At 41.4% G+C, this 18590-nt stretch overlaps 1 protein-coding gene across 1 annotated transcript in view; it reads left to right on the top strand.

The window, feature by feature from the left end:
• The first annotated feature begins 10277 nt into the window (after positions 1–10277).
• Positions 10278–18590, top strand: part of NXF2B (nuclear RNA export factor 2B) — a 79614-nt gene continuing 71301 nt past the window's right edge. The window contains exons 1-2 of the mRNA NM_001099686.3: positions 10278–10416; positions 11612–11733. The gene's annotated coding sequence lies outside the window, so the exon portion shown is untranslated. The remainder of the gene's footprint in view (positions 10417–11611; positions 11734–18590) is intronic.

The raw sequence follows: 18590 nt of genomic DNA, 5'->3' as shown, positions 1-18590 counted from the left end.
TTAAAAAAAAATTTAAGGTAGTGCTGTGCTTTGAATATGTCCTTCAAAGTTCATGTGTTGGATACTCAATTGCTGTTGTAACAATGTTGAGAGTTAGGACCTTTCAGAACAGATTAGGTCATGAGGGCTCTGCCCTCATGAATGGATTAATGCTGTTATTGTGAGACTGTGTTAGTTATCATGGCAGTGGGCTCCTGATAAAAGGCTAAGTCCAAACCCCATTTTCTCTTTGTCTCACACACTCTATCACCATGTGACACCTTCAATGTACCCTGCCAGATACTGGTGCCATGCTCTTGAGACTTCCCAGCCGCCAGAACAGTGAGCCAAATAAAATTGTCTTCTTTATAAATTGCCTAGCCTGTGCATTCTGTTATAGCAGTAGAAAACAGACTATGGCAGGTAGGTAGACATATTACCCAAAGAGAAACACATCTGAAAAATATACACCAATCTTTTTACATTGAATATGTATGCATCACAGTGATGGGATCATATAGATGGAAGATGTAGAATGATTTCATCTTCTAAATATACATTTATAATGTTTAGTATTTTTTAATTAGGAAAATTTCTTGAGAGAAACACTTGAAAATATGTAACAGCAAATTAACAAGAAAACACATAAATATTTTTATTTTAAGAAGCGTTCATGCTATGCTGTTTTTTTTTAAAAGAAAGATTATAATAACTCTTGACTTGAGAGTTACCCCTATCTGTGTAGGTGTGTGATTTGTATATTACAGTTCCATCATTTAGAATGTTCAAACTCTCAATGTGCAGACTTATCTTCTGCTCTCTCAGGGGTTGGATGTCCTCTCTCAGGGCATAGAGACACAATAAGGGATTGCTGTTAAGGGATGGACAATTATAGAAATTTCTGGTTGATGCACTGCATATCAGTCCCTTTTATCACTCCCTTCCCCTTGCAAGCTGATCTGTCCTGAGACTTTTGGGGTTATAAGTCTGACTCTGACAAACAAATAGCATCTTTGTACATTCAATACTTTAAAAGGAAAAGGTGTGATTCTTTTTTTCTACTCCCATTCCAGTGGCCACTAAATTATCTTTCCTATTTCCTTTATACTTTCCATGTCTGTCTCTAATATGCCCTCTCTGAGATGGACTGCACTTTTTTTTTCTGTCATTCAGTTATTTTCAGATATTTTTGATAACTTTGTCCTTCCTTAAGAATATGTGATGCGCAAGAGTTTATTAAAACTATGTGTGGTGAAATCATGCCCATCCAGTAGAGCTCAGTTCTAATGCTGGCAATTTCATGTAGCATCTGAATGAACCCTGACAAGCTTCTACAACTCATTAAGTCTCAGCAACCTAAGACAGGCCAAGAAGCTGGTAATTCTGCCTACCAGAATCCCGTTATGAGGAACACATGGAGGAAGAAAATGTAATGTAATGCAGCAAGCACAGAGCATGGCATGCAGCAGGCCCTCAGAGTTCCCCCATGTCCGTAGCTACGAGTACCTGGGTTCCGGGTCTCCCGACTATAGTTAGCTTGCTCTGCAGGGGTGACTCAATTGGAAACAGCTCCCTGGGTGTTGGTGGCAAACTCAGGGGGCACTAAGAACAGGAAGTAGAGTCTCTTCTGGCTCCCAGGGCTCTCCTCACTATGCCCTTCGGGAAAGGACTTATTTTGAAAACTCCACCTTGCTCACGTGAGCCTGACAAAATGGTCTGAGGCCTACTCTTGCCTCGTTTGACAGATCCCCTCAATTTTCTCTGAACCCCAGCTCCAGATCTCACAGATTCTCCTCACAAACACCATGTGAAGACAGTGGTGACAGGTCACTACCCACATGCCACACCATGGGTGAATTGGTCAGTGCCAATCCTTGGCCTCAGGATCTCACAGGGCATGAAGGGTTCTGGGCCCCCTCTCCCACTCCAACCCCCAGGACACCCAGCAGACTCACTTTCAGTTAGAGCTGGTAGGTGGCAAGGGCCCAGGCTGAGTGTTTTCCATTGTCCTGAGGATGAGGGCAAAGTGAACCCTGAGATACCTGTCTTAGTCCATTTTGTGCTGTTATAAGAGAACACTCAACACTGGGTGTGTTAGTCTGTTCTCACACTGCTGTAAAAATACTGCCTGAGACTCGGTAATTTATAAACAGAAAAGGTTCAATTGACTCACAGTTCCACATGGCTGGGGAGGGCTCAGGAAACTTACAATCATGGGAGAAGGCGAAGGGGAAGCAAGGCTTGTCTTTCATGATGGCAGGCGAGAGAGAGAGCGAGGAAGCGCCACACTTTAAAACCATCAGCTCTCGCGGGAACTCCATCACTATCGTGAGAACAGCACGGGGAAAACCGCCCCCATGATCCAGTCACCTCCCACCAGGTCCCTCCCTCCACACGTGAGGATTACAATTCAACATGAGACTTGGGTGGGGACACAGAGCCAAACTGTATCACTGGGTGGTTTATAAAGAACAGCAATTTGTATCTTACAGTTCTGGAGGCTGGGAAGTGCAAGGTGGGGGGGCTTGCATCTGATGAGAGCCTTCTTGCTGTGTCATCCAATGGCAGAAGGTGGGAGGGCTAGAGTGCACAAGAGAGAGAAAGCAAGAGATCAAACTCATAGACTCAAGCCCTTTTATAATTGGTATTAATCCATTCCTCAAGGTGCAACCCTCATATGACCTAAACACCTCCCATTAGGAGGGAGGGTTGCACTGGGGATTAAGTTTCCAACACATGCTTTTTTGGGGACACATTCAAACCAACCATTGCATCCTGCCCCTGGCCCCCCAAATTTATGTCCTTCTCACATGCAAAATACATTAATTCCATCCCAGTAGCCCCAAAGTCTTAACTCACTCCAGCACCCAAAGTCCAGAGTCTCATCTAAATTAGAGATGGGTGAGACTCAAGGCAGGATCCAGACTGAGGAAAATTTCCTCTAGCTCTGAGTCTGTGAAATCAAAACAAGTTGTCTATTCCCAAAATACAGTGGCGGGACAGGCGTAGGATAGACATTCTCATTCCAAGAGGGAGAGACAGGCAACAGAAAAGGCATAACTGATCCTAAGAAAGTCCAAAACCCATCAGAGCAAACAACATTAAATTTTGAGGCTTGAGAATAATGTTCAAGTTCTGCCTTCTGAGGCAGGGATTGGGCCCCCAGATTCTCAGGCAGCCATGCCTCTATGGCTTTGCTAGGCTCAGTCCACCCAGCAGCTCTCACAGGTTGGAGTCTTGTTCCTCCAGCTCTCCCAGGGTATCATTAAATGCCAGTAGCTCTGAAATTCTGGAATCTTAGTAGCAGTCCAGCTCCCACACCTCTACTAGACATTACCCGAATTGGGACTCTCTGCAACTGACTTGTTCCCACAGCCCCATCAGGTACTGGCCTGATGGGGACTCTCTCTGGCAGCTCTGCCCCTGTGGCAGGTCTCTACATGGGTCCTCAGGCTGTCTGCAACATTCTGCGAAATCTAGGTGGAGGCCGTCACAGACCCATAGCTCGTGAATGCTGTGCACCTGCAGAATCAGCACCATTTGGATGCCGCCAAGGTCCACCGCTTGAGCCTTCCAGACCGGCAGCCTGTTCAGCACCCGGCCCCCCTTGAACTATGGCTGGGACAGCCGAGGAGTGCTGCACGAAGGTGCCGGCAGCAGACACTTAAAAGCATCACGGGGCAGCAGATGTTGAGGTCCCGTGGGCGTCTCTCTGGAAACTTTGCCTTCGCATTGTGCACTGGGCATGTGACTGGAGGAGCAGCCTGGAAAACTCTGAAATGCCGTCAGGGCCTTTCTCCAGTGGTCTTTGTCTTACTGAATAGCACCTGTTTCCCTTCTAGCCATGGTAATCTCATTAGCAAAGTGGTCACTTGGCCATGTCTGTAGTTTGCACTCCTAAACACGCTTTTTCATTCTTTACATGGCTAGGGTGAAATTTTTCAACATATTTACCTTCTTCCTATCTTTTAATTGACAAATTCCATCTTTAAAGCATTTCTCTCTTCTCTCATTTTTGTCTAAGTGGCCGAACAAAGTCACGCAGTACCTTGAATGTTTTGCTGTTTAGTTATTTTTACTGCCAGATATCCTAGTTCATTACCCTGAAGTTCTTTTAATTTTTTTCATTTTTCCATTTTTGTGGGTACATAGTAGGTGTATATATTTATGGGGTATATGAGATATGTTGGAACAGGCATGCGGTGTGTACTAATCACATCACATCCCCTCAAGCATTTGTCATGTGTGTTACAAACAATCTGTATCCTCTTAGGTACTTTAAAATGTACAATTCAACTATTACTGACTTTAGGCAACATGCTGTGATATCCCACCTTATTCATTCTTTCTGTATTTTTTTGCATCCATTAACCATCCCCACCTACCCCCTGCCTCCACACTACCCTTCCCAGCCTCTGGTAACCATCCTTCTACTCTCTATGTCCACGAGATCAATCGTTTTGATTCTCAGGTCCTACAAATCAGTGAGAACATGCGATGTTTGTCTATCTGTGCCTGGCTTATTTCACTCAACATAAAGATCTCCAATTCTATCCACGTTGTTGCAGATGACTGGATCTCATTCTTTTTACGACTGAATAGTACTCCATTGGGTATATGTAGCACATTTTCTTTATCCACTCATCTGTTGATGGACACTTAGGTTGCTTCCACATGTTGCTATTGTAAACAGTGCTGCAACAAACAGGAGTGCAGATATCTCTTCCATATGCTGATTTCCTTTCTTTTGGGTATATACTTGGCAGTTGGATTGGTGGATCATGTGGTAGCTCAAATTTTAGTTTTCTGAGGAACCTGCAGAGTGTTCTCCATAATCGTTGTACTAATTTCATTCCCACCAACAGTGTACGAGGGTTCCCTTTTCTCCACACCCTCATCAGCATTTGTTATTGCCTGTCTTTTGGATATAAGCCATTTTAACTGGGGTGAGAAGATATCTCATTGTGGCTCTAAAGATCAGTGATATTGAGCACCTCTTCATCTGCCTGTTTGCCATTTGTACGTCTTCTTTTGAGAAATGTGTATTCAAATCTTTTGCCCATTCTCTAACCGGATTATTAGATTTTCTCCAATAGAGTTGTTTGAGCTCCTTGTATATTTTACTGGTTATTAATCCCTTCTCAGATGGGTAGCTTGCAAATATTTTTTCCCATTTTGTGGGTTGTGTCTTCACTTTAGTGGTTGTTTCCTTTGCTGTGCAGAAGCTTTTTAACTAGTCATGCATGATCCCATTTGTCCATTTTTGCTTTGGATGCCAGTGCTTCTCGGGTATTACTCGAGAAATTTTTGCCCAGAACAGTATCCTGGAGCGTTTCCCCGGTGTTTTCTTGTAGAAGTTTCATAGGCTGACATCTCAGATTTACGTCTTTAATCCATTCTGATTTGATTTTTATATAAGATGAGAGATAAGGGTCAAGTTTCATTCTTCTCCATAGGGATACCCAGTTTTCCCAGCACCAGCGCCATTTATTGAAGAGACTGTCCTTTTTCCAGTGTATGTTCTTGGCACCTTTGTCAAAAATGAGTTCACTGTAGGTGTGTGGATTTGTTCCTGGGTTGCCTATTCTGTCCCATTGGTCTATGGGTCTGTTTTAATGTCAGTACCTTGCTGATTTGGTTACTATAGCTCTGTAGTATAATTTGAAGTCAGGTAATGTGATTCCTCCAGTGTTGTTCGTTTTTGCTCAGGATAGCTTTGGCTATTCTGGGCCTTTTGTGGTACTATATGCATTTTAGGATTGCTTTTCCTATTTCTGTAAAGAATGTCACTGGTGTTTTTGTAGGGATTGCATCAAATCTGTGGATTGCTTTGGGTATGATGGACATTTAAACAATATTGATTCTTCCAACGCATGAACATGGAATAACTTTCCATTATTGTGTCCTCTTCGATTTATTTCATGAATGTCTTCCAGTTTTCATTGTGGAGATCTTTCACTTCTTTGGTTAATTCCGAGGTATTTAATTTTATTTGTGTCTACTGTAAGTGAGATTAATTTTGATTTCTTTTTCAGGGTGTTCACTATTGGCATATATAAATGCTAGTGATTTTTGTAGGTTGATTTTGTATCCTGCAACTTTACTAAATTGGTTGATCAGTTCTAATAGTTTTCTGGTGGAGTCTTAAGGTTTTTCTAAATATAAGATCGTATCATCAGCAAACAAAGGTAATTCGGCTTCTTCCTTTCCAGTGTGGATGCTCTTTACTTCTTTCTCTTACCTGATTGCTTGAGCAAAGACTTCCCGTACTATGTTGAATAACAGTGGTGAATGTGGGCATCCTTGTCATGTTCCAGATCTTAGAGGAAAGGCTTTCACTTTTTCCCCATTCAGTATGATACTAGCTGTCAGTCTGTTGTATATGACTTTTATTATGTTGAGGTATGTTCCTTCCATACCCAGTTTGTTGAGGAATTTTATCAGGAAGGAATGTTGGATTTTTATCAAATGCTTTTTCAGCATCAGTTGAAATAATCATATGGTTTTTATCTTTCATTCTGTTGATGTGATGTGTCACATTGATTGAGTTGCATATGTTGAACCATCCTCGCATCCCAGGGATAAATCCCACTTGGTCATGATGAACGATCTTTCTGATGTATTGTTGAGTTGGGTTTGCTAGTATTTAGTGGAGGATTTTTGCATCGATATTCATCAGAGATATTGGCCTGTATTAAGAAGTCACTGTAAGAAGATGCCTGAGAGTGGATACTTGGTCAGTGTAATGATTTTAATATGCGCCTTTTCTATTCTTCAGAAAATAGTCTCCTTTCTTATTTACTTTAGAATGTCATGACCCCCAACCTATGGAATTAATTAAACAAGAAACATTTCCAATACACTATTTCACATTCAGAAGGTTTCACAGTCTTTCAGTGTCAAACCTTGTGAGCAAAGCCAGGGCAACAGGCTCTAAGCTGACAAAAAAGTTTACCAGTATCTTCCATAGAGATGGCCTTTTCATTCATATAGATTCCATCGGCAAGTCAGGCCAGACCTTTCAGACTCTGACTTGTAAAAAAGTCTTGTGTAAGGAAAACTTACCAGTTTGCAACTAGTGTTTGGTCACTGCTGAGAGAAACAAATATTAAAAAATAAATAAATATGTCTCAGAGAGTTAAATAGGCATACTTGGAAACACGAAAGCTTGGAAAATGAATTTAATATGGCAGATTTTATTGAGAATGCATCATGAGTCATAGGAGTTCAGAAATCAGGAAGTTCAGGAAGAAGAAAAAGATCACAAAGGCAAGTTTATGATTACACCTACTAATCGAGGAACTGCTTGCTCTGCAACCAGTAGATGATCACGAGATGGTCAGATCTTGGTAGGCCCACAAGAGATGTCAAAATAAAATTCTCAAAAATAAACATCCTAGAGACCTCCAGTTCTGGCCAAGCTGGAGTTTGCCCTTTCCTCCCAGATGGTCCCTCTACATCAGAACACCCTGAATATAACAGCAAACCAGCAAAGAAAGCTCTGAAACGTGGAAAGGGGAAAGCAGACCGACTCGTGCTCTCAGGACTCGAGCAAGAACACAGGCAGCGCATTCCCTTGGTTTTTCTATTTCCACCCAATATCCCAGACAGGGCACCGCAGAAGCCCCCAGTCCAGAACCACCAACAATGGCAGACACAAAGCTCCAAGAAAAGCCTATTTCCTCTGCCAAAAGACCATAAAAAACGTGATCTAAAAACTGAAAAACCTTTGTGACAAATTCCCCTCCCCTACACTAGACAAACAACAATGGAAAAACCTTATCTCCCCCACCCCCCAAGGTTTCAGGGAACAAGAAGGAAACTTGTCTTCTATCCTGCCTCTCTGAGGCAGATGGTGATGATCCAATTCACCTGTCAGGGTAGTGTCAGTGGTGTCCAGCAGCAAGATGAGCCTTCACCTTCACCTGACATCAATAACACTGAACAAGGCAGTCCAAGTTGGGACTAGTAAGCATTCCATTTATCCCCATCTCTGGTGTCAGTGATGCCCAGTGGAAAGTTGAACCTTTACACTCATCCAAACTCAATGAAGTGGTGTGAGGCGGGGCTAATCGACACTCTGCTTTCCCGCTCAGGCATTCTGTGCAAGCTAGGCCCTATGGAGAGCTGTGCCTCCTCATCCACCCATCATCAAGATGGAATCAGGTGGTGGGAGGCAGGGTTTGTTGGCAGTCTCCTTTCCCCCTCCTTCCCCTGATGTTCTCAGAGACCAGTGGGGACCTAGGCTTCTGCCCCACCACACTGCAGCAACAAAACTTTGAGTCAGCCATCCAGTTCCCCTTTCCCTAAAGCCTAGCAAAGAACTGTGCCTATACTCCCCGACCCCACCTCTGAGGTAACAAAGTGTGGTGAATTGGTGCCCCCTTTTTTATTGGAAATGTTCTCAGGGGGGCTAGGGTAGAAGTTCAGCTCCCACCCCCAGCCATCTGTGAAGAGGCAAGGTGAACCAGCAATCTAGTTTGCTAGGATGGTATCAGAACAGGAATCTGCACTTATCACCTTATGATATGATGGGACCACCATCATATATGTGGTCTATCATTGAACAAAAAGTCATTATGTGGTGCATGACTGAATATGGACTATCTTAATGAAATGTCATCACAGCCTTATGAGGTTAAATTTTTTACTATTCCCAGTTTAAAGATGGATAATAAAAGCTTGGAAGAGTTTACCTGGCCAAGGTTATTTAGCTACAAAGTGGTAATGCCACGGATTCAATCCTAAGATACCTGATGCCCATTACCCCATCTACTGAAAGATGACACTGTACTGCAAAAATTAAAACAGACATAGCTGATCTGCTTCTTTACCTGTAATTAGAGTAAAAGAAAACAACAAAAGAAAACAAAAACAACACAGTGACATGCTAACTGTCATGAAGAAAAGTACCACATGTCTGATAAGGTGATCAGAGATGTACACTAAGTAAGGAAGGTAGCTATAGGGATATCTAAAGCCAGGCTGTTACAGAAAAACACTCAACGGTATGGGAGTATGCTTGCTGAGCTAGTGTTAGAGCAACAAAAAGGAGGCTAGTGTGGCTGGAGAAAAATCCATTTATTCATTCAAAGTATCCACTGAAGCAGGCATTGTTATAGGCACTTAGGGTACATTAATGAGCAATAGACAAAGATATTTGCCCTTCTGGAATTTTTATTTTTCCACCATGGGAGACAGACAATAAAAAACAAAAACAGCATATGATTAAAATATATTGCATTCCAGAAGATGACTGCGGGGGGGAAAAATCAAATAGGGAAGAAGTGGAATCAGGAGTGTGGGCTGAGGGTTGGACATTCAAACAAATATTGGCTGCTTTGCAATTGATAGTATTATTAGATGGGTGGAAGTCTTCTCCTTTGTGCCGCCTTTGCCAGGCATCAGTGTAAATGCTCTGTTGGCTTCACTGCAGAGGACAACACATTTTTCCTATCTTTGGTCAGGACTCAGTTCCTTCTTTAATATATCAGAGAACCAGAGACACTAATATCTGACAGCCTTTTGCCATCAAGTGGCCATGCGTTTTTTAAGTAAGCATCCCCTGCTACACGTCCACTAAATTTGAGCTTTTAACTGTCTGTGTTGAGACGTGGCCTGGTAGAAACCCTCGCTGGGGCCAGGCGCGGTGGCTCACGCCTGTAATCCCAGCACTTTGTGAGGCCGAGTCGGGCGGATTACGAGGTCAAGAGAGGGAGACCATCCTGGCTAACATGGTAAAACCCCGTCTCCACTGAAAATAGAAAAACCAGCCGGGCGTGGTGGCAGGTGCCTGTAATGCCAGCTACTCGGGAGGCTGAGGTAGGAGAATTGCTTGAACCCGGGAGGCAGAGGTTGCATGAGATGGGATCCCGCCAGTGCACTCCAGCCTGGGCAACAGAGCGAGACGCCGTCTCAAAAAAAAAAAAAAAAAAAAAAAAAAAAAGAAAAGAAAAGAAAAGAAAAAAAAAGAAAGAAAGAAAGCAAAGAAACCCTGGCTGGCCAGTGCCCAGGCCATACACAATGGCATTGTGCCTCACTTTTCACCTAAGACGAAATCAGCGGGTGGGGCAGGCTTATAATCAGAACACCCCTCCCTTTCCACCTCACACACTCCCACCCGCCTGTCCCACAATCCTTCCTGCCCCTCCCGCTCTCCCACCCTTGGTTTCTCGAAACCCCTTCTCCTTCCCTGCCCCCCGTCCCCCGAGCCCCAGGAGGGGGAGGGGCAGGAATCTGGCTCCGCCTCCCAGTATGGAGATGATTGGTCAAAGGAGGTCACCTGACCAAGCTGAGCCAATTGAAGTCCTCTCCCCACTGCTTTGAGAAGGAACCGTTAAGACGCTGGGCCCCACCCACAAGATTGCGTCTTGTTTGTGGCAAGATTCTGAGGGGAAGTGTAGCTCCCAGGTTGGTTCCAAGTCTTCTTCCAATTAGGTAAATTACAACAATATCTTTTCCATAAATTTCCTTTCTTTTCTTTTTTGCCTTTTTTTTTTTTTTTTTTTTTTTGAGACGGAGTTTGGCTCTTGTTGCCCAGGCTGGGGCGTAATGTCGCGATCTCGGCTCACCACAACCCCCACCTCCCGGGTTCAAGCGATTCTCCTGCCTCACTCCCAAGTACCTGGGATTACAGGCATGCGCCATCATGCCAGGCTAATTTTTGTATTTTTAGTAGAGAGGGGGTTTCTCCATATTGGTTAGGCTGGTCTCCAACTCCCGACCTCAGGGGATCCACCGCCTCGGCCTTCCAAAGTGCTGGGATTACAGGCGTGAGCGTCCGTGCCCGGCCCTTCTATAAATTTTATATAAACTAGGCCTTTTTTGGCCTACATTACCTAGGGTCAAGGTTTAGGGATTCATAGGAAAGGCAAATCCGGCTGGATTGCTCAGTGGTCCACTCTCCAGTCCACTCTCTATGTATCCCTTATCTTCACGTGTGATTAGGTTCAATTGTATGGCTAATCACTTCATGTTCTCTCTTTGCAATTTCTCAGGCAGGTTTTCTCTTCTTCTTCAGAAAGTTATATTTCTCTTTTGCATCTTAGTTTTGTTTATGGTTAATTTTGATATGGCGGGCTTTAAATTGTAAATATTGGATTGTATAGATATTTTTCTTTCTATTGTATTTCATTCCTTTTATGCTTAAAAATGCTTTCCTCATCTGAAGAGTAAATACATATTCACCTGTGTGTTGAAGATGACTGGGCTTTCATCTCTTATAATCTTTTTAATGAATCATGTGGTATGAGCATGTATCCCTCTTTGTATGCATCCTTCTAACTATGTTTCAATTGGTTATTGTTAAGCAGTGTGGTTTATAGGTTGCCAGCCCTTTAGCCACTGATTTTGTCTTTTAAAATTCTTTACTCTGAAATAATTTTAGACTTACAGAAAAGTTACAAAAATGATTATACAGAGAGCCCTCGCCTGGATTTCCTTAATGTTAACATCTTATATAACCATAGAAAAATTACCAAAACTAACTACTACATTACATTGATGCACTAATTGACATTACTACATCGATGTTAATTACCAACAGTTAGCATTGATGTAGTACTATTAACTAATCTACAGATTTTATGTGAATTTCACCAGATATCTCACTGATGTCCTTTTTCTATTCTAGGATCTTATCCAGGACGCTTCATTGCATTTGGTCTTCATTTCTCCTTAGTCTCCTCCAGGCTGACATTTCCTCAATCTTTATTGGTCTTCCACAGCCCTGACACTTTTGGAGATACCAGTCAGGTAATTTTGTGGAATGTCTCTCAATTTGTGTTTGTCTCATGTTTTCTTATGATTAGATTGAAGTTGTGCATTTGTAGCAAGCACACCTGTTTTATTCTCCTCCCTTTCCCAGTGGCGAGGGAGGGATTCCCACCCTAGTGTTATGGGGGCGGCTGAACACATGGTACCCTATACTGGACAGACGGAATCCACAGCAATTTATCAGTAACATTTACTCACAACTGGAGAGAGGAGGGCACCTCACGCCAGGTAGAGCCACACAGTGTCACACTCTGGAAGAGAGTGAACAAGCAGGGGCTTTCAGGGGGAAGTCTTTGTAGTAACCAGAGGATGAAGTGACCGTTGGTTCAGGGTAGGACGATTGGCTTGTTTGAATAATTCTGCAGGCTGGTGGGGACCTGAAACATGCTACCCAGAGATAAGCAGGCACTGTGTCTGTTCAACATGATAATAAGGAGGGTACTTTGGCCAGGGGGCCTTTCTCCCTGGGAACCCAATAGGGAAGATAACTTGTGGTGAGGCCATTCAGGGTCCTCCTGTTCTACCCCAGATGTCAAGGCATCCATATAATTGGACCTCTAATTTTAGGTCTTATGCGACATTACCGCAAACGTGATTTCGTTCCCTTCTATGTGGATCATGTCAGGGGTACATGACATCCATAAGTTGTATTACTGGTGGTGCTCACCTTGATCACTTGGTTAAAGTGGTGGGAGTTATGCTGCCCCAGTGTAATGCTACTATTTTCCTCTTTGTTAGTAATAAATATAGTGTGAAAAGTTCTTTAAGAAGAAACACAATAGATCCTCTTATATTCCTGTTTCTTCGCAGACTTTGACCCACTACTGTTAAAATCTGTCTAGGGATCTTGCCTACAGCAAATATTACCTAATGGTGATTTTCTGTTTTCCTAATTTCTGCTACATTTATTAATTGGAATTCCTCTGTAAGGAAGAGCTATCTTTACTCCCTCATTCATTTATTTCTTCAATTTATTTATCTCAGTATGGGCTCTTGAATAATTATGTTATACATGCCAGGCTTAATACCTAGGTGATGGGTTGATGGGTGCAGCAAACCACCAGGGCGCAGGTTTACCTATGTAATGAACCTGCACATCCTGCGCATGTATCCTGGAACTTGCAATAAAATAAAATAAAAATTTAATCTAATTATATCATTATTTTGTTCTTTGAACTGTTCTAGCCTTGGCCATTGGGAAGTCATTTTGGTTGGTTCTGTGGTCTTTTGATATGACCCTATCCTTTTTTGGTACCTTTTTCTGGCACAATAAGATGTTCAGATTCAGCATGTGTGTGCCCCCCTCCCCTCACACACACACACCCCTTATAGCCCTGGATTAAAACAACTTCTACGAGGAGCCCCGGTTCCCTTTCTTGGGGAATGATATTTACCAACCAGTATCTCGGTGTGTGTTCATTATTAATGGCGTTTCATTGCTGCTAAGGCTCTCTCTATGGAGAGGGTTAGGAAATAATGTATGTATACACCCATGCCTATAGACACATCCACATTTATTTTGGTATCTATCTGTATGCATAGCTATTAAAAGCCAGGAGCTTGTATTGATACTTTCAATTCCAATCATTCTAGACTTATTTGTAGATTCGTTCTCCGACCTGGCTTTCATTATCAAATAGTTTACATACCTGTTTATTTCTGGTCAGTAGATACATAAAGTAGCGCCTGAATTGCTAACAAATGCCCCTGTTGCAAACATGTTAATAACTTATATTTTTGTACAGTTGTTTTTGTCTTTGGCCTTAGAGGATATAGTCAAAATACTGCTCTCCAAAGTTATGTATCTTAGATCTTTTCTTCCTCTCTCCTTCAGCGTGGTTAAGACACTCATTTGTAATATTGTTAGTTGAACCTGTTTCTGTTTGATTTGGGGTACCCTCACCCCAATATCCCGGTTGATTTTAATTTTTTATTTATATTTTGGGTATGTGCATCATTACTATGATCCAAAGAGTCAGGGTTATACAAAAACCTATACTCGGAGAAATGTCACTCCTTCGTCATCCCTTCTACCCTGTTCCCATTCCCCATTTCTTTCCACTTCTTTCCCTGGCCCTCCCTGTAGGGTAATCAGCCCCTTTGGTTTCTGGTTTAACCTTTCCTGTATTTATTTTGCCCAAATGAGCAGATACATACATGTTTTCTCATATTCCTTTCTTACACGAAGGATAGCATACTATACATGTTCCTTTGCACTTTGCCTTTCCTACTTAACAGCATTCTTGGAAATCACTCCATATTGTTTCACAGAGATCTTCATCGTTCGTTTTTACAGCTGCATTGTACTCCATTGTGTGGCTGCGCCACACATAGTTTATTCAACCACTCGCCTATGTTTGGGCATTTTGTTTTTAATACAGAAACCAGGTCTCGCTCTATAACCCAGGCTGACTGAAGTGCAGTGGCACAATCATAGCTCATGGTAACCTCAAACTCCTGGGCTCAAGCAATTCACAACTGCCTCAGCCTCCCAAGTGGCTAGGACTACAGGTGTGTGCCACCATGCCTGGCTAATTAAAGACTTTTTATTTTTTATTTTATTTTTTGTCGATATGGGGCCTCGCTATGTTGCCCAGACTGGTCTGGATCTCCTGGCCTCCAGTGATCCTCCCGCCTTGGTCTCCAAAGTGCTGAGATTACAGGCATGAGCCATGGTGCCTGGCCTGTATGGGCTTTTAAATTCCTTCCAAGATTTTGCAGTTACAGACATTACTCCCGCGAATAACCCTGGACATGATTTTTTTTTTTTTTTTGTATTGGTAGAAATGTACCTTCAAGGTATATTCCCACTAGTAGGATTATTGGGCCAAAAGTTAAGTGCACATGTAGTTTTCTTAGGTGTTTCCAAGTTTCTCTCCAGAAGGATTGTACTGGTTTTCATTTCCATTAGCAATATATGAGAATGACAATTTCCCCACAGCCTCACTAACAGAACATGTTGCCTTACTTTTGAAACTTTTTTCTACGGGTTAGGCGAGAAATGGTGTCTCGCTGTTTCTGTAATATACCTTTGTCTAACTATGAGCAAGTTTTGACACTTAACCATATATTTGAGGACTGTTTTTATACTTTTTGTTGGAATTATCTGTTCATATCTTTCCCCCATATTTCTATTGCTGTTGTGGTCCTTCATCCCTCAATATTTAAGAGCTCTCTATATATTTGGAATATTATCCAGTTGTCTGCGATATGTGCTGCAAGTACTTTACATCAATTTGTCAGTTGCCTTTTGATTTATTTATGATGCATTTGCATCACTTTCGTTTATCCTTATGTGGTCAAATGGATTGATTATTTTTTTCTTTCATTGCCTCCGGAATTTGAATCCTAGTTAGAAAGCTTTTCCCTACAGTGGGGTTCTGCCATGTTTTGTTTTGTTTTTTCTTTCTTTTCTTTGGTTGACATGGAGTCTCGCTTTGTCGTCCAGGCTGGAGTGCAGTGGCGCGATCTCGGCTCACTGCAACCTCTGCCTCCCAGGTTCAAGCAATTCTCCTGTCTCAGCCTCTCGAGTAGCTGGGATTACAGCCGCCCGCCACCTCGCCTGGCTCATTTTCGTATTTTTAGTAGAGACGGGGTTTCACCATTTTGGCCAGGCTGGTCTCAAACTCCGGACCTCAGGCGATCCACCCGCTTCAGCCTCCCAAAGTGCTGGGATTATAGGCGTGAGCCACCCCCCTCCCCCGGCCACTGCCATGTTTTCTTCAAGAACTTACATGGTTTCATTTGTTATGTTTAGATCCCTAACCCATTTGCAGTTTATTCTTGTGCATGCTGTGTTATATGGATCTACCTTTATTTTTCCAGACGTCTCAGTTGTTCCAGGACCATTTATTAAATGTCCATCTTTGCCCTAAAGAGTTTATGTGCCATCTTTATCATGTACTAACTGTCATATGATTTGGTTGTATTTCTGAGTTTTCTATTCTAGTCCACTGGGCTATTAGTCTATTCTTGCACCAGTGCCACAATGTCGTAATTACAGAGGCTTTATAGTGTGCTTTTCTGGCTGATATCATAAGTCCCCTCTCATAGATTTTCTTTTTCACGTGTTTCCTGGCTATGCTTGCATGTTTTCACAAATATATTAACTTTATTATCAATTTGCCTAAATGCATAAAAATGTGTGCTGGCGTTTTTGCGACTGAATTAAATTTATACACCAATTTAGGAAGAACCGACATCTTTTTAATGCTGGATTATTCCATCTAGGACAGTGACGTAGTCTGTTTGGGCTGCTATTACAAAATACCATAGACTAGGTAGTTTATAAACAACAGAAATTTATTTCTCGCAGCTCTGGAGACTGACAAGTCCAAGATAAAGATTCTGGCTGATTTGGTGTCTGGTGAGGACCCTCTTCCTCATCGATGGTACTTTCTAATTGTATCCTCAACATGGTGGAAGGGACAAGGCAGCTCTCTGAAGCCTCTTTTATGAGAGAACTAATCCCATTCATAAGGGCTCCACCCTTATGACCTAGTCGCCTCTCAAAAGGCCCCACCTCCTAATGGCATCACCTTGCGGGTAAAATTTCCTAACCTGCACATTGTGCACATGTACCCTAAAACTTGAAGTGTAATAATAATAAAATAAAATAAAATAAAAATAAAAATAAAAAATTTCAAGATAGTAATTTTGGGGGTACACAAACATTCAGACCATCTCAGATAGCGTATGTGTTTCCATTTGTTCAAGTCTTCTGTGGTGTCATTCAGGCATATTTAAAAATTTTTCTTGTATAAATGTTGTTATCAAGTTTATTCCTAAACTTTAATCCTTGTTGCTAGTGTATATGGGGCTTTGTCTGTGAATGTATCCTCCAGCTGCTTATTTTTTGTGTGTGTATTAAAAGACTGCTGATTTTTTGTATGTTAATTTTATATTTTGCTACCTTAATGACTTCTTTTACTGGTTCAGTTGATTTATCATCGTTTCTATAGGGTTTTTCAGGTATACTATAATATCATCTGCATGTAGAGATGGCTTTACTTCTCTTTGTAAAAAGTAAGTTTTATTGTGTATATCTAAGGTATACAACACGGTGTTATGGGACACGTATGGATAGTAAAATAGTTACTATAGTGGAACAAATTAACATAACCCATTATGTCACATAGTGACCCATTTTTGGTTTTGGTAGCAGTAGGCGCTAAAATCTATTCATTTAGCAGAAATCCCGCATCATACTTAATAGTACAATTGTACAAACTGTATTCCAGCATGTTGTGCACTAGATCTCTAGTCTCTTTCATCCTACATATCTGCTACTTTGCATCCTCTGACCTACATCTCCCGCTTTCCTCCTCCCATCCCCTCCTCCCCACCCCGACCCTGATAACCACTGCTTTATTCTGTATCTCTGTATATTTGAGTTTTGTTTTACTTTTATTTTTTTAAGATTCCACATATAAGTGAGATCATGCAATATTTCTCTTTCTGTATCTGGATTATTTCACTATTATTTCATTGTTATAGCATAATGTCCTCCAGATTCATCCATGTTTTGGCAAATGGCAAGATCTCCTTTTTAAAGTGTATACATACAACACATTTTCTGTATCCATCTGTCCCTTGATGGACACCTAGGTTGTTTCCATATCTTGGCTATTGTGATTAATGCTGCAGTGAACATGGGAGTTCAGATACTTTTCAAAGATCAGCTACTTTCAAAAGGTGGTTATTTTATTTCCTTTAAGTAGATACCCAGAAAAGCAGTTGCTGGGTCATATGATAGTTCTCTTTTTCACTACCATATTTTTTTCTAAAATAGAAAAATGTAGAACTACCATTTTATTTACTAAAACAGAAAAAAAAATCTATTTCTTTAGGTACCTCCATACTGTTTTCCATAATGATTGTCCCTATCTACATTCCCATCAACAGTGTACAAGGGTTCCCTTTTCTCCACACACTCGGCAATGTTTGCCATCTCTTGGCTTTTTGATAATAGCTATCCTAATGGTTGTATGGTGTTGCCTCATAGTAGCTTTTATCTGCATTTTCCTGATGATTAATGATGTTGAGCACTTTTTCATACACCTGTTAGTCAGTGTGTATGTCTTCTTTGGAGAAATGTCTATTCAGGTCCTTTGCCCGTTGTTTAAATTTGATTGTTTTTCTGCTATGGAGTTGTATGATTTCCTTACAAAATTTGGATGCTAACCCCTTATTCATATATATGTTTTGCAAGTATTTGCTCTCAATGTGTAAGTTGCCATTTCATTTTGTTGATTGTTCCCTTTGCTGTGCTTTTTAGTTCTTCTTATTCATTCCTAGGAAAATGATCTATTTCTCTGCTCAGTTGACTAATACTTGTAATGCAAGATTGAATAGGTGTGAGGTAGTAGGCATGCTTTCCTTGTTCCTGATCCCAAGGGAAAGCTTCGAGTGCCCCCCCACCCCATTAAATAAGTTACTAGCATTAGGACTTAGGTATATATGTTTTATCATGTTAAGAAAGCATCCTGTGGTGCCTATTTTCTTAAGGCTTTTCTATTTTTTAACATAAAGAGGTGTTGAATTTTTCCAAAGGCTTTTTCAACATCTGTGGTGATAACCATATGATATTTGTCTTTAAGTATATTAATATGGTGGATGATATCAAGGTACTTTCTAATATTGAGCCAATCTGTATTGATGGGATAAATCCCACTTTGCCAAAGTATATTATGATTTTTTAAATATGTTGTTTGCTAATATTTTATCTAGCATTTTTGCATCTACACTTATCTATCCATGTCACACTTGCTTCATAAAGGAAGTTATGAAAATTTCCTTTATAATGCTGTTGAATAATTTATAGAGCATTGGCACTC

Source organism: Homo sapiens, chromosome X (assembly GCF_000001405.40).
Source record: "Homo sapiens chromosome X, GRCh38.p14 Primary Assembly".
NCBI classification, from domain to species: domain Eukaryota; kingdom Metazoa; phylum Chordata; class Mammalia; order Primates; family Hominidae; genus Homo; species Homo sapiens.
The sequence above is the reverse complement of the archived record's forward strand: the minus strand, read 5'-3'. Positions and strand labels throughout refer to the sequence as shown.